Below are 15,923 nucleotides of genomic sequence, written 5' to 3' on the forward strand. Positions count from 1 at the left end.
TGAAAGTCAGCTGCCCAAACAGGAGTTTAAGCTCCTTAGGGTCTTTTGAGACTTAAAAGCCTCCCGGAGGGTTGCATGCGGGTTCTCTGATTCAGTTCCTTTAGGGTATGGCTCTTACCTGAGTGACATGGAAATCAATCTCTTTGTCTTTATACTGGTTCAGGAGCCAGGGCACCTGGCCCAGGGCGTATCCACGGAAGTCTTCCCGATGCAGCAGCAAGCTCACCGTGGGCCCGTGGGCCTTAACGATGCTCAAAGTCTGTACAGGCAGCAAACAAATACCGTTTCTGAAACTTCCTTATGTTTTTCATAGGTTTTCAGAACACCAGGAGCTTTAGGTACTCCTGAAAACTTTCCTCACTGCTTTCAGCCAAGAAATAATTCTTTAAATTCTTTAAAATCTTTAAAAAATGTTCAGGTTAAGATCATTGCATGGGACAGAGCTATATTTGTATTTACATATGTATTTATACTGATACTCATTTCAATACTTGCCCTTCTCTCCTATTTTTTATTTTATTGTATTTTTTTGAAACAGAGTCTCGCTTTGTTGCCTAGGCTGGAGTGCAGTGGCACGATCTCAGCTCACTGCAACCTCCGCCTCCCAGATTCAAGCAATTCTCCCGCCTCAGCCTCCTGAGTAGCTGGGATTACAGGTGCCCACCAGCATGCCTGGCTAATTTTTGTAATACTAGATTTTATTTTATTTTATTGTATTTTTTTGAGACAGAGCTTTTCTATTTTTTAAACCTCTCTCTAATACTCACTTTCTTTTAGTATATTAAGCAATCTAGAACTTACCTCATCTTAAAGAACCTTCAAGCTGGCAGGATGGCTCACGCCTGTAATCTCAGCACTTTGGGAGGCCGAGGCAGGCGGATCGCCTGAGGTTAGGAGATGAAGACCAGCCTGACCAACATGGTGAAATCCCCGTCTCTACTAAAAATACAAAAATTAGCTGGGCATGGTGGTGGGCGCCTGTAATCCCAGCTACTTGGGAGGCCGAAGCAGGAGAATCACTTGAACCTGGGAGGCGGAGCTTGCAGTGAGTGGAGATGGCGCCACTGCACTCCAGCCTGGGTGACAGAGTGAGACTCCATCTCAAAAAAAAAAAAAAAAAAAAGAATCTTCACCGATTCCACCTCACTTTGACCCTAACTATTACCCCCACCTGACTCTGTTTCTCTTTCCTGCTCTTGGAGCAAAGCGTTTCCAAGGTATGGTCTTTATTTGCTATCTCTACCTCTCACCTCCCATTCACCTCTCAATCCACTAGAATCTTGCTGCCATTCAGTGTGGAAAATCATCAACTTCCAGAGTATGAAATATAAATGTGATAAATTCTGATTATAAAAATGTAGAAATCACAAATGTTATGTTGAAGAAAACATAATACACATAGGACCCATGGATAAACACTGGTATATTTTAGTATATTTTTTATTTGACTTATTTCCTATGTTTTCCATGAATTTTAATTTCTTAAAAATTGACATCATTCTTATAGAGTTCTATATTCTGCCTTTTCTATCTGATGTTTGATAAATTTTTTGTATCAGCTACATTTTACAACAAATCATCTCAAAACTTAGTGGCTAATGGCAACTATCATTTATTTCATTAAATACTATGTATTAGCTGGGTGGTTCTTCCACCACACATTTCCAAGCAATGGACACTTGTCAAGATTTTTCTTGAGTGCTGTAACACTCAGGACTACATCTTTGCTTCTTGAAAACTTCTCCTTTCTAAGCTTCTAAGACCTCATTCTACTTGACTCTCCTACACTCTTAGCACATTCCCTATTCTCCATCATGAGTTCTTCTCCCTTGCTTTCCCCTTAATATTGATGCCCTCCAGAACTCTGTTTTAGCCACTTTCCCACTCTATAAACTCTTTAAACAACTCCATCTAAATCCACTTATTTGGTTGTCACTTATGCAATGATGATACCCAAATCTATAAGTCCAATTTTTGCTCTTCCTTTTTAACTCCAAACCTGAATATCCTCAAACCTACTAATATCTCCACTTGACTGTACCATAGGTGTTCAAATCAAAATGTCTACATCAAACCCATTTTGTACTGTCCCACATTTGTAATTCCTCCTCGTTTAAATTGATGATCCCAAGATCACCTGAGTCAGAAACCTAGGAAACCATCCCAGGTTCCTCCATCCTAATAAGCATCCAACTGATGCCAAGTCCTGGTCATTCTATTCTTCAGCATCTGACTCCTCTGATCAGTTCCACGAACACTATGTTAATTGATCTCTTTACCACTTATGAGCTGGAATATTTCTATAGCCTCCTAGCAGGTAGTCTTATCTTAGTCCACCCCATACCCCTCTATTGTTAATGTTGATATTAGAATGATTTTTCTACTGCAGTACTCAAATCCTTGCTTAAAACCTTTCAAGGGTTTCTTGTTTATTAAAAAAAAGTCCAAACTTGTATGTAGCAGCTAAGGCTTTTCATTATGTGACTAAGGCCATCTTTCTGGTTTCATTTCTTTCTGCCTTATATCTTTTTTTCTCTCTTCCCTTCTCCATCTCCCATCACACTCACTCAGGTGTTCATGCTTCCCCATTTTCAACCTCTGCCTCAGTAGGTTTTAGTCCCTCTGTAGGGAATGCACCTTCGCTGTGGTGAGCAGCTTCATGGGCTGCAAGGATCAATTCCAATGTCGCAGCTCACCAGGGCAGTTAAGTGCTTCCCTCTCTGTGCACCCTTGTCACTTTGTGTACCTTCTGTTCACTTGCCTGGCCCTTCCTGCAGGGAGCAAGGAGAGTAGTCGTTAAACAGATGCATTGAATTTGTTTTCCAGGTGTCTTGAAGAAAAAACTTCCCTACAGGATATTTTTAAAGTTCCATGTTGCTAACGATTTAACTACCTCAGGATGTTAAAAAATAAATGCTTTAATAGTTTAAAGTGTTGAAAAGAAACTAAACTAGAGAAAGCTGCTAAGTGTTAAACCTTTTATAATAAAGCAATGAAGAGACCTAAATAGGATACCATTTAGCCTGCTTAAAAAAACTATAGCAATTAAGCAAGATAAAGGGAATATACTTTTAAAGCAAGATACATGTGAATGCACTTTGTAATTTATTCTTTACAAGGACAAGGCACTGCAGTATTTTGAAGCAGCCAAGAATATTCTTTAGATGTTATTTTATTTAATCATGATATTCATAGACACAAGAAGCACCTGTGGACTGCTATTTTTTCCTAATTAGTGACTCAGCTCATATATGAGTTTTAATACATAAAATGTGAAATATCTAACTTTCTGGGATTTTTACTCATTTTATCTTATTGATTGTTCTTTCCACATACTGAAATGTCAATTTCATGAGTGTGGGATTTTGGTTTATTTAATTCCTGCTACAACCTCGGCATCTGGAATAGTGTCTGGCATGTCATGGGGATTCAATAAACATTAACTGAAATAATAAATAAATAGGGATTTGAAATAGGTGGGAAAAAAGAAAAAATTGATAAATCTCATAAAATACAACCAATGGCTTCCAAAAATACTGAGCCTAATTATCATGTCACAAAGAGAAGAGAAATTTCAACCAGCATATAGGGACATCCAGCTTGAGGCATCCTGAGGCCCACTCACCTGCATGGGTGAGGCCAAAGGGGCCCACTTCTCCATTATATACCAGAACAGCATGAAGATCTTGTCAGACAGTCGGTTGGCATCCAGTCTGGGGTAGGGAAAATCTCTCCAGTGGTTGACATATTTGTAAATGGCTTTGCTGAATTTCTCAAGGGCTGCATTTAAAACACACAACCACAGACTGAGAAAAATATAAGGATGGGGCAGACGATAAAATAATTTGAGAAGAGAGTGCTGATGATTAGTAAATATGTAATGGTTTTTAGATGATCTTACGACTGCATCAAATACACATATAGAAAGTGCTCAGCCACAAAAGTGAAATGCAAATTAAAAGCATAATGAGCCACTACTATCCAGAATGTCTAAAATTTAAGATAGTCAATGCCAAGTGTTAACAAGACTAAGGTGCAGCTGGTATTCTCACTGCTGGTAGAAGGGCGAATTGGTTCAAGCACTTTGCAGAACTCTTTGGCACTATCTAGCAAAGTTGAATATGCATTCCATTTGACCCAACTATTCCAATCTTATGTATATAGCCATTAGACGTGTGTAGATATGAGCACTAAAAGTTTGTACAAGAATGCGTTCATATTAGCTTTTTGTTTTGTAATAGCCCCAAACAGAATATAGCATAAATAGCTGCTAATAGGTAGAATTCTATTACATTCTATAGACATGTAATAGAATACAGAAATAAAAATGGGCGATAACTCCACAGAACAACATGGATGAATCTTACAAACAGGCAAAGCTAATGGTGTTTGAAGTTAGGATTGTGGTTACCCTTTGAAGGTAACATGAGGGGGCTTCTGGGCTCTGACAATCTCCCACTTCTTGACCTAAGTGGTGGCCACATGGGCAACTTCACTTTGAAATAACTCATCAACATGGACACTTCTGATTTGCGTGATTTTCTGTGTCTGTGTCTATGTTTTACTTCAATAAAATTAAAAAGAAATCTTAGGACTGCCAAAATACCATTTGGGCCACGAATCCATATATATTTGCATGAAATGCATAAAATAATAATATTATTTTCTTCAGCCCTTGTGTGCCACTTATTTTGCTAGATGATAAAGAAAATTAATTAGTCCATTCTTCAGGGACTCCTCACATTCACAAAATACCCTGGAAAGGACCCTGAGCATGTTATAGCTGTAGAGCCGGCCATTTATTGGCTCATTCACAGTCTCTCCAAACTCCTTATAATTTCTTTAAGAATCTCTTACTATACTTTATAATAGTTTATTTCTTGGTGTATGTGTGTGTGGCTGTGTGTGTGTATGTGTGTACATGTGTGTATGTTTCTAACTGACCTGTAAGCAACCTGAAGTAAGGGATGATGTCTTGCTGGTTCATGGTATGTGAAGCAGCCAGCACAATGTCTGCTAATTTGCTGATTGATCAAATGACTAGGTATGGATGAATGGCTGGATGGCTGAATGGCTGGATGGATAGATAGCTATTACATTTGATACCTTTTCTTTAGTGGCAGTCAGGCAAAAAGGTGATTTAAGATCAAAGGGCACTTAGATAATTTTATAACACAGAGAATTCCCTTAGTAATGTTCATGAGGATTTCTAGTTTTATTTAATTTTACATTCTTGGTTGTTAATATTAAAGGTAGAAATGCTGTTAGAGGCTCCAAAGTTTATTTGCAGGAACACAGTGTTAGCTATGATAATGAGTAGGAATAGTAAAAAGTATTGAAAGTGGGTTAGTGTAGTATAGCTGCACAGGTCCTTGAGTCAGACTGTCATAGTTGACAGTCTTGGCTCTGCCATGTACTGGCTGTGTGACCTAAGGCAAGCTGTTTGAAACTTTCTAAGTCCAATGTTCTCACTTGTAAAATGGTGGAAAAAATGTTACCCATCTCATGTGGTTGCTGTGAGAGTTAAATGAAATAGTAATCTTAAAATACCCAGGGCAGTGTCCAGGCACATAGCAAGTTCTCAATATATATCAGATAAAAATATTACTTTGATGACAGAACAAGAAGAAATGGGAAAAATGGAATGGAAGAGCCTTTGTTTCTAGGTAAAGAAGACATTCCTGACAGCGTGGGCTTTTAAATTACAAAATAGTAGTGTTAGGTTATGTTGGAAGTGGAAGGGAACGTAGCAATCACTTATTCTGATGTTTTTAGAGTTGAAACTGGGACTGAGAGAAGGGCAGGGTCACCTGGTGGCTCAGTGGCTGAGCAGAGACAAGAGACCAGGTCTCCAGTCTCATCCAAGAAACTTCCCTGTACACTGCAAACACTGCTTCCTAGGAATTCCAGGGCACGTTCTTCTCTGTAGGCTCTTGATTTCTGTGACATATTTCAGTTTGGGGTAGAGGAGTTTGTGACCACAGTTTGCTTGCCTATTTTTCTTGATTTTATGATTGCTTGTAGTTTGATTACTTTGTTTAGTTATCATTATTACAATATTACATTATAATCAGATGCCAAAATTTAACCTATGCTAAGAGCTGGTAAGTGCTGACAATCATTGCCAAGAAAGTGTCGTCCAGTTAGAGAAGGAGGTCAGTCGAAATGGAAGTTGTACAGGGCAGTGAGGAGTGTAGACTGGGTGTTCCCACAGACCTGGGTTTGAATCCCACCTCTATATCTCATTGACTGTGTCACCATTTTGGGAAAATTCTTTACTTTCCTTGAACCTCAGTTTTTCCTCTATACAATGGGCAAATAGTACTTATCTTGCAGAATTTCTGTGATGATTGAATGAGATAACTCCCTGCTGAGGACTTTCCATGTGGTAGGCACTCAATAAGTGGCAGCTATTATTATTCAAAAGGACAAGATTGGAGTTAAAGGGAAAACAAGACTTTTGCTTAATTTGTAAGACAGTTCACAGCCTGGTTTTTAAGCAAAAAGGAAATCATCGGGATACCCACCAATACAGAAAGTCCCCTTCATCCTTTCATCCTCGGCCAGCCTGAGCATGGTTTGCATGGTGAGCAGGGTCATCATCATGAAAGGAATACTCTGGGACACTGGAGGGAGAGGCAGAAAGGAGACAAGTGTTATTTATCTTCTCAAATTTGGGGTTCTGTGACTCCAAATCAACAAGAAGCATTTCAGGGCTGCACGGAGGAGGCAGATGAGGTGTAGTAGAAAGATGTTTCTATAATTCCGCCATCTCTACCCCACCTTAATACCAGGCTGTAGTTAGATAATCAAGGAAGGGCTGGTTGAAAATAAGGTTCTAGCTACACAGCCACTTGTACCTCTTGTTAAGTGGCAGTCGCTTATTTGGAAGGCAGCTATGCTCACCACTATACCACCAGTGCTGCCAGCAATTGCTTAGTTGGATAATTAATTTATTAATGTCAATCTCTCCCACCAGATCTTTCCTGTATCCCCAAAGTATATGTAAACATATGTAACAGGTGATTCCTAAATATCTGTTAAATAAAGTAGTGTGGAAATAAATGGTAGGGATCCTTATTTCATGTAAGTGTTCAGTGGTTTATAGAATACACCTTACAGAAAATGTGCTTCTGCAAATGCAAAGCTGGATGAAGGGGAAGGTGAGGATGGGAGAGTGGCCAAATTCAGAGCAGTCTGGACTAGTGGCTGGGCAGCAGAATCATCCATGCTCATTTTAAACAGCTGCCCACATCCCTCTGTCAATATTTCTTGGTACAGAAGAAGGCAGAGATGCTATCTCTTCTACCGTTTGCTCCCATTTAGCTTTTAGACAATTAGAAGTTGTCATTTCCCAGGGAAAATTGGAGAATATTCCCGCTATACCATAGCTGGTTGCCAATTCAGCCAGGGCAAGCACAACGAATTCATCTGGTAGCTCTAAGATCCTGAAGTTACTTTGTACTTCATACATCACAGAGTTGAAATCATGTGCAGCAAGAGACACCAAAACCTCACCAGCTAGCATTCTGATTTCTCTGAGCATCTGAGGAGGAAAAGAAAAATAACAATAACAACTAGAAAAGGGGCAGAGTGAGTCTATGGAGGGGAACTAGTCAGCATAATATTTATATATGCATTTATTTATTTTTAAAATTATAGATTCAGGGGGTACATGTGCAGGTTGGTCACATGGTTCAACTGTGTAATGGTGAGATTTGGGCTTCTAGTGAACCCTCACCATTCCTCCCACCTTCTGTTCTTTTGGAGTCTGCAAAAACGTCTACTGACCCCCAAATCTGCAAGAACACTATTAAAACCAGTTTTTAAAAGTGCAATCAAGTTACCTCTGCTTTCCCAGCAACTGACACCTACCAAGAATCTTTCACCATGGTTTTCTAGCAGCCTGTTCTCTACTATACAGCCACACTATTTATAAGCTCCTCTAGCGTTGGGACGAAGGGAGAACAGGCTGTTACAAAACCATAGTGAGAAACTCTTGGTAGGTGTTAGTAGCTGGGAAAGCAGAGGTAATTAGAGTGAATTTAAAACGCTGGTTTTAATAGAGTTCTAGTAAACTTCGAGGTCAGTAGCTGTTTTCTTGCTGGTTGATCTGGTACCATGAACACAAGACTTACATTTTATGTTTAAGTGATGCAAATTACTGTGGTTGAAAGACTGAAAGCAAAAGTGAAAGGAAATGGGCTAGGAATTGAGAACTTTGGTTTTGATGTTAATCTGGCCTAATAATCATGTCCAGTATTGGTGGTATTGGGAAAGATTTCTGATTTTGGTGATGGCGAACTAGGTAAATTTGATCAAATCCCCTCCTGAGGAAAATACAAAGGACCCAGATAAGATATTAAAAATATATACTCATAAAACCATCAGCAAACTCACAATATAGGTTGGAATGAATTACTGAGTTGAGGCCTGAAAAAGATTATTGATCTAGAGAGATAAGCCCTGCATTTGAGACTGTTTTGTTGCATTTTGAAGCAATAGTCAGAGTTCAGGGCCAACCAGTGGTGAGACTCTGGTCATTCCACCTCTTGTCTTTTGGGATAAGACACCAAAGGGCTGTGTTCAAATGAAAAGTTAAATTGGTACTCTCATGAATGACAATCGAATTCTAAGTTATAGAAGAGACCCAGAAATCTCAAACCCTGAAAGCAATCATAAATTGTTAGTGCCCTTGGCAGGAACAAGTAATACTTCTTTCTGGAAGAAATAACATCATCCTAGGATTCAAATTACTTCTACAAATTATTATTTTTTTGCTATGTTGTCTATCAGACAATCTAAGATAGTAGGTACATAAAGAAATAAGTCATATAGAAGCCAAGAAAATTGGTTTCTAGTTATGTTACTAGTTGTCAATAGACAGCTGTGTTACTTTGAAAAAAACATATCTCTAATGGTGAACTTCCTCATCTAAAAGGAGGTTGGATAAAATCACCTTTAAAATCATTCTTATCTTTGCCTCAGTTTCCTCATCTGTGAAGGAGTAAATATCAGGCATTATAACGATATCCAAGTTACCACAAAGAACAAATACAAGTGATTTGTGGTCCTGGCAACAGTGTAGAAGAGCTTACTGATGTCCACATGGGTGCAGTTGGGTCACATAAAGACCCTTTTCACCATCATGAACCAAACTTACATTGTTGTCTCTCATATCCTTAGAAGCATAATAAATCAATCGTTGGACAATTGCATCATCCAAGATGTCAGTATTCTGAATAACAGAAGTGAGATGACTGTAAATGTCTTCCTGTGAATATACAAAGGCATACACAGAAATTTGGCTTGCAAAAATAAAGGAATCAAATGAAATCCTAATGAATAACACCATTAAAGTAAGCAATATATCTTTACTACACAATGGATTTCATATTATATGTCTTAATTGAGGCTTTCTTTTTTTTTTCTATTTTTTAAGATGGAGTTTTGCTCTTTTTGGCCAGGCTGGAGTGCAATGGCATGATCTCAGCTCACTGCAACCTCTGCCTCCTGGGTTCAACTGATTCTCCTGCCTCAGCCTCCCGAGTAGCCAGGATTACAGGTGTGTGCCACCATGCCCGAATAATTTTTGTATTTTTAGTAGAGACGGGGTTTTTGCCATGTTGGCTACGCTGGTCTCGAACTCCTGACCTCAGGTGATCCACTTGCCTCGGTCTCCCAAAGTGCTGGGATTACAGGCATGAGCCACCGTGCCTGGCTTTAATTGAGGCTTTCTGAACATAACATGCATCTTTAGGAGTCAAAGGCTACAGAGCAAAGTCAATTCTAAAAACTATTTTAACTTGGCTATATTTCTATGGCAAGATCTAATTGACAACCAGGAGAGGCTACCTGCCATTCCATGTCTTTTGAAAATCACTGTTGTGGGACACTCAGGGGAATGGAAATGCCTGTCAGCTTAATTGCTGCCCTTACTATCAGGGAGTGATATGGTACTAGGGAACACACTGTAACTCCCCAAGAGGCTGCTAGGCTATGAAACTGGATCCTAAGGGACATTTACAGGCCCTTGTTTCATTCATGCCTCTGCAGACAGAAAGTTGTGGACATTTTAGACAGGGCCTCCAGTTGTGTGGCTTGACTAGATGCCCTGTGTGAGGAATTGTAAATCTTTTAGGTGGCTATGTGTCCTCTGGATGATGAAAGAGAGACTGGTGTACTGAAATCTCCAACAGCTTCAACATGCACCTCCAGCCACTCCACCCATGCTTAAGTTGTTAAATAGCATCCTTTGCATTACTCCTCAGGGCTGGTCCTTGGGAAGTCTGAGAATAATGCATAATTTTTCTTTGCTTTCTTCCCTGTATTTTCTGGGCCTGCCTAACTATCTCTGTGAGTCCTTTTCTTGCTCCATGTGCTTACTATCCTGTCTGCAGGCCTTGTTCTTTGGCAAGGCTACCATTTATGGAGCTCTCACCACATTCCTGGAACTGTGCCAGACTCATTATCTGGAGCATTTTATTAACGCTCACAAGTCCCTGTCTTAGGTACCACAAATATATTCATTTTATAGATGAGGAAATTGAGTCCCAGGGAGCTTAATGTAGTTAGTGTTACGTACTGATGCTACAATTTGAAACCAACAGTCTGAATTTTAGCTGGCACCTTAACCTCTTGGTTATGCTGGCTATTATTATTCTTTAACTAGACTCATCATAAAATAACTAGGAAGTGCTTGTTAAAAATATATATTCTCTGATCCCTTTACTGGAAATTCTCCTTCAATGTTTCTGGGATCCGGAGGTTATTCTCTTAAGTGATTCCCAATGTTTGAGAAATAGTGTTCTTTCGGAAAGGTGACTTCTACTGAGAGATTAATGTAATGGTTTTCAACCGTACCTAAATGTTTGGATTACCTCCAGGTGCTTAAAATGCCCAAGCTTTTCACAGACTGATCCAATCAGAATCCCTGGTAGTAGGGCCTGGGTGTTGATATTTTCCCAAAACTCTCTAAGGGATTCTAATATATGGTCAGGGTTGAGAACCACTGAATTAAGAGATAAAGGTATAGGCACTGCCCTTCACAAGGAGACAACACTGAATAATGATTAGGAACATTTTTTTTTGGAGTCAGATGGGCTTGCTTTTGGATATAGTCCTGTTGTTCTTAGTTGAGCAAGTCATGTAACTTCTCTCTGCCTAATTTTTTCTCAGTTATCAAATGGAAATAGCAATAACTACCTGATAAAATTGTTCTGAGGAGTGAATATTATACAATACACTGTTGTTTGGAAAATATCTAGCATTTTACTTCCCAGATAAGTGTTCGATGAAGGGCAGTTATTTCTTTTATTTTATAAAAGGTTGTTGAAATGTGAAAAGCCTTCAATTCTTAGGTAAACTTCTAGCTGTGAAATAGCATTATAGATGAGCAGGGAAGAGCTTTTGGGATTTTTGTAACAACCCTCAAATTATAAAAGAAACAGTCTCATCCACATGTTTGTAAGTCTGACATACACCTTTCAACATCTGCCTGTATAAAGTTATAAAAAGGAACTTTTTTTTTGCTATTTTCTAGACATAGATGCTGTGATTCTTGAAATGCCAAATATCATTGCTTAAACATTACAATGACTTTCATTACAACTGCATTTACTGAAAAATCTAATGCCATGTAACAAGCCAGAGAAAAATGAGAAAGTTGAGACAAAGAAAAATATATACGAAATGTTGCAACAAGAAGACTGAAAAAGGGAAAAAGATTTTTCTCTGTTTTCCCTACCTTGTTAACAATATCTTCCTTGTTCAGCATGCCAAGAGTGAGGTTAATATCCCCAAACATCTCTAAAACGTACAGAAAAATATGAATTGAAATATATGCTGAAATGCCCTCCTGTTAATTATTTTGTAATCAACACAGAAAGTTCATTCATTCATTTATCCTCTCTCTCTCTCTCTCCCTTGACTGCTAGCTCTTTGATGGCAGGAACTGTTTTATTCATATCCATGACATAAATGAAACTAGCAGATGCTAAGTTATTATTATTTTTGAAACCTGAATCAAATGTGAAAGGGAAGATAAAAGATGCCGGATTCCTATGTATCCCTCCAGGCAAGTGGGCATTGCCTTGTAAATTCTCTCTTGCAGGATTTAGCTCTCAGAGTCAATGAGGTGAATTTCTCACTCCTGACTTAAGCATTAGAAGGCAGGGGTGCAACATAGCTGTTTATTTTTCACTGGTCCTCCCCTCAATACCTCTCCCATCTTCTTTTTCCATACCCTTTTCAACTCCACCTATTCTCCTGTGCCTGCCAACTCCCTCTTTTGGTCACATGCTAATGAAGGCTTCCTGTTTTCTGACAATGACCTAAATGTGTTTGACTTGCATTTTCTAGGAATATATGTTTTTGAATAAAGCACTCTAGAAAACTGGAAAAAAAATTGAGTCAAAGGAATTGAGCAATTTCAAGCTACATGGCAAGTTGGTAGGAGAAATACTTTTGGAGATGAAGATTTCTTATTAACCTCCACACCAAACAACATACTCATTTAGGGCAATCTTTTTGGCAAAGTAGAAAGGCAGCCATACCTGGAAATTGGGAGAAATACTTCCAAAGGACTCTTCTAGTATTTAAAATTAAATAACAAACTGCCTTTCTTTGATATGTAGCCACTTTCTCCTCAGGTAGACTCTAAATTTTAAAGCACAACCATCTCTTAGGCTTCCAGTCTATTATTGGTCCTTCACAATCAGCATGATTTTATTATGTATTTAGCATACCATTTCATAAATCCTTTGAGGTGTACAGTCCTCCCACAATGACGCGCCACTCCCAGCCCTCATATATACTTATAATTCCACAGAAACAAAACACAGGGAAGAGCCTTGGCTTCTCAGGATCTGATGATGCTTACCTATGGATTCCTCTGTACTAAGTGTCATGTCTTGGCTGTTTCAGGGTCTCTAAAAGATAGCACCTAAGTATTAGAAATAGTAAGGCTAAAAAATCAAAGAGGCAGGTTGGCAAGTTTCTCATATAAGGTTCACATAAGCCTCTCTAAATGAAAGTGCCTCCTCCACTTGATTGGCACAATGGTCTGGGAGCTTCCAGAGATGGGCTTGCTGTTGAAGTTGATACTGTATTCTACCACTATGACATTGTCTTGCGTCTGAACTCCTGCTAACCAACAAAATGGCTGCATCTCACCAAATATTGTCCCTTTGGTGACCAGAGTATTTGGGAAAGAAGTAATTAGAGACTGGGATTCAAACCATTGTTGCAGACCAAAGGTGCTCCTCTCCCTAAACTTGAGTCCATTGATCACAAATTCAGGAATGGTTTTCAGTAGTTGCTTTACTGTCCTGATGTTGGGAAAGGCTTTATGGTGAACTCGTTGATTGTTACACTTAGTGAAAATCAGTCATATGAACTGAGCATGCTCAGTGGACTGGAATGCACTTCAGGGGCAGTTGGATGGAATGTCCAACTGACAGCAGCAAAGTGAAGACCTCTCTACCTCCCTCTCCATTAATTCCTCCCTGGCATGTTCAGGATCTTGGCCTCACTCCAGGCTCAGGCTTTTTCTCTGTCTTCAGCTTTCTTTTTGTTTTCAAATTATTTTTTATCTAGATCAATTTTCCATAATGTTTTCAACTTATCTAGCATGAATTGAAATCTGGTCCCCAACTATAAATCTATGTGATGACAATCTTCAATATATGTCCAGACTCTATGTGAATATGGAGGATGATAGAGAAAGGGAAGGCAGTACTGCTAGTCTATAGGGCTAAATGTAGAATGGGCTGAGGAGGGGAGCTCATGACAATTTTCATCTGCTGCTGCTTTTTTGGCCATCTTAACTTCATCGGTGAAGCTTATTCCAGATTCAAAGGTCAACTGCTTCCAACTAAACCTTTGAATTCATCATTCTTCTCATAGACATTTTGCACTGTATTAAAGAGATCCTCAACATTTTCCGCTTCCCAAGTCAGCATCACTTTCAGAGTTTTGTCTCCAGGTGACTTTATCATGGGATTTACTTGGTATCCTTATTTAAAATGTGAATTCCCAGGCCCCACTTCAGACCCAGTAAATTAGAATGAGGGGGCAGCAATCTATATATTTAATGTGCGCCCCTGGTGATTCTTAGGTTCACTGAACTTTGAAAAGCACTGACCAAGGTCCTTGCCCAAACATTCATTAGTGGATCAGTAAATAGCAGTTAACTGAAGAATGTTTGTTGTGGTTGGGCAAGGAGCTCTTCCCCAGCATCATGACTCACTGAAGAATAGGCCAAGTTTGGTTAGTCAGGGAGGTACTGGGGTGATTAGAGGCATCCCGAAACTCTTAACATCTATAAGATGTTAAGTCTACTTGTAGTAAATAAAACAACAGATTCCCTATAAGGGAAAAAATGATGTTAGAAATTATGTGCTCTTAGAGTCTTAAAAAACAATGTACAGCAGAATCAATAATAAGAAAGCTAGCCATTTAGGTAATTGTTACAACCATTTTCTTAATATTTTTGTGAATGGTGACAAATGATTTTTCTGTATGTCTGTATATAAAGACTTCCTTGATTTCATAGAGATTAGAGAAGTTAGGAGATAATTGATTTATTTTGACTTTTAATTTATTCATCGCTGCAATCAAAACACAACTTTTTGCTAAAATCCTTTCAGACAAAGTAAATTCACTCATTGAAACCAATACTGCAGATAGTTTTAAAATCCCCAAATCCTCAAAATAGCTGATTTGCTGTCATTTTATTTCATTTTTCAGTCGCCTGCTTGTTACATCTTCCCATTATTTCTTCCTCTTCTCATTGCATGAGGCTAACACAATATGGATTTGATTTCTCTAAGACTCTAAGAGGATCCTAAACACGAATTCTCAAAGTGAATAGGATGGCATGTGCTAACTAATTAAGTACTGTTTCTAGATATTTGTGAGGGAGCCTAAATCTAGCCTGCTAAGGAATTAGAGTGTCTCACTGGATATGTGGTAGCCATCCCCTTTCAATGTAACTTGTCAAATGAAGCTACCCAATCCCAGGCCTACTATGTTCCCACATGATGTTATCAGACAAAAATATTAATAAGGCAGTAAAGGTAAAATATAAAGCTAAAGAAGAATAGATACATAGAAATAATACAGAAACGTTATAAAAATTTAAATTTTATGGTTTTAATAGTTTAATTGTAGATGATTTTAATGTATACTACAATTAATCTAAACTTTGATATTTATCCTTTTATTCTTCAGATGACGTGTTAGATTTTTATAAAATATATTAAAAGTGAAATTAGGCTGTGTTTTGTTTGATTTGTCAGTTTCATGAGATAAGCCTAATTTCTTTTTTAAAAATTTTATTATTATTATACTTTAAGTTCTAGGGTACATGTGCACAACGTGCAGTTTTGTTACATATGTATACATGTGCCATGTTTGTGTGCTGCACCCATTAACTCGTCATTTAGCATTAGGTATATCTCCTAATGCTATCCTTTCCCACTCCCCCCACCCCCCAACAGTCCTCAGTGTGTGATGTTCCCCTTCCTTTGTCCATGTGTTCTCATTGTTCAATTCCCACCTATGAGTGAGAACATGCGGTGTTTGGTTTTTTGTCCTTGCGATAGTTTGCTGAGAATGATGGTTTCCAGCTTCATCCATGTCCCTACAAAGGACATGAACTCATCATTTTTTATGGCTGCATAGTATTCCATGGTGTATATGTGCCACATTTTCTTAATCCAGTCTATCATTGATGGACATTTGGGTCGGTTCCAAGTCTTTGCTATTGTGAATAGTGCCGCAATAAACATACGTGTGCATGTGTCCTTATAGCAGCATGATTTATAATCCTTTGGGTATCTACCCATTTATGGGATGGCTGGGTCAAAAGGTAATTCTAGTTTTAGATCCCTGAGGAATCGTCACACTAACTTCCACAATGC

At 38.6% G+C, this 15,923-nt stretch overlaps 1 protein-coding gene and 1 long non-coding RNA gene across 4 annotated transcripts in view, besides 1 other annotated feature; one reads left to right on the forward strand and one right to left on the reverse strand.

Annotated features, from left to right (window-relative positions):
* MROH2B (maestro heat like repeat family member 2B) overlaps positions 1-13,398 on the reverse strand; it is a 73,323-nt gene extending 59,925 nt beyond the window's left edge. For 2 of the 3 annotated variants that reach the window (NM_173489.5, XM_011513952.2), the window contains exons 1-7: positions 12,881-13,398; positions 11,747-11,808; positions 9,164-9,274; positions 7,387-7,546; positions 6,528-6,626; positions 3,626-3,780; positions 119-259 (exon numbers count right to left, since the gene is read on the reverse strand). In NM_173489.5, the coding sequence (NP_775760.3) occupies positions 119-259; positions 3,626-3,780; positions 6,528-6,626; positions 7,387-7,546; positions 9,164-9,274; positions 11,747-11,808; positions 12,881-12,908 (756 nt within the window). In that variant the 5' untranslated portion in view covers positions 12,909-13,398. The remainder of the gene's footprint in view (positions 1-118; positions 260-3,625; positions 3,781-6,527; positions 6,627-7,386; positions 7,547-9,163; positions 9,275-11,746; positions 11,809-12,880) is intronic. The other variant, XM_011513953.2, reaches the window with a different exon arrangement.
* Positions 6,157-6,725: an enhancer, noted in NCBI's record as "OCT4-NANOG hESC enhancer chr5:41064203-41064771 (GRCh37/hg19 assembly coordinates)". NCBI's record gives its function as "activates a minimal SCP1, AML or CMV promoter by ChIP-STARR-seq in naive H9 embryonic stem cells {active_cell/tissue: H9 hESC(naive)}" and the evidence as "EXISTENCE:reporter gene assay evidence [ECO:0000049][PMID:30033119]".
* Positions 13,399-13,412: 14 nt separating the features above from the next.
* The window catches only part of LOC105374739 (uncharacterized), a 90,060-nt gene continuing 87,549 nt past the window's right edge, over positions 13,413-15,923 (forward strand). Inside the window, exon 1 of the long non-coding RNA XR_001742650.2 lies at positions 13,413-13,984. This is a non-coding gene — a long non-coding RNA (uncharacterized LOC105374739). The remainder of the gene's footprint in view (positions 13,985-15,923) is intronic.

The sequence above is a fragment of the Homo sapiens genome, chromosome 5, assembly GCF_000001405.40.
Source record: "Homo sapiens chromosome 5, GRCh38.p14 Primary Assembly".
NCBI lineage: Eukaryota > Metazoa > Chordata > Mammalia > Primates > Hominidae > Homo > Homo sapiens.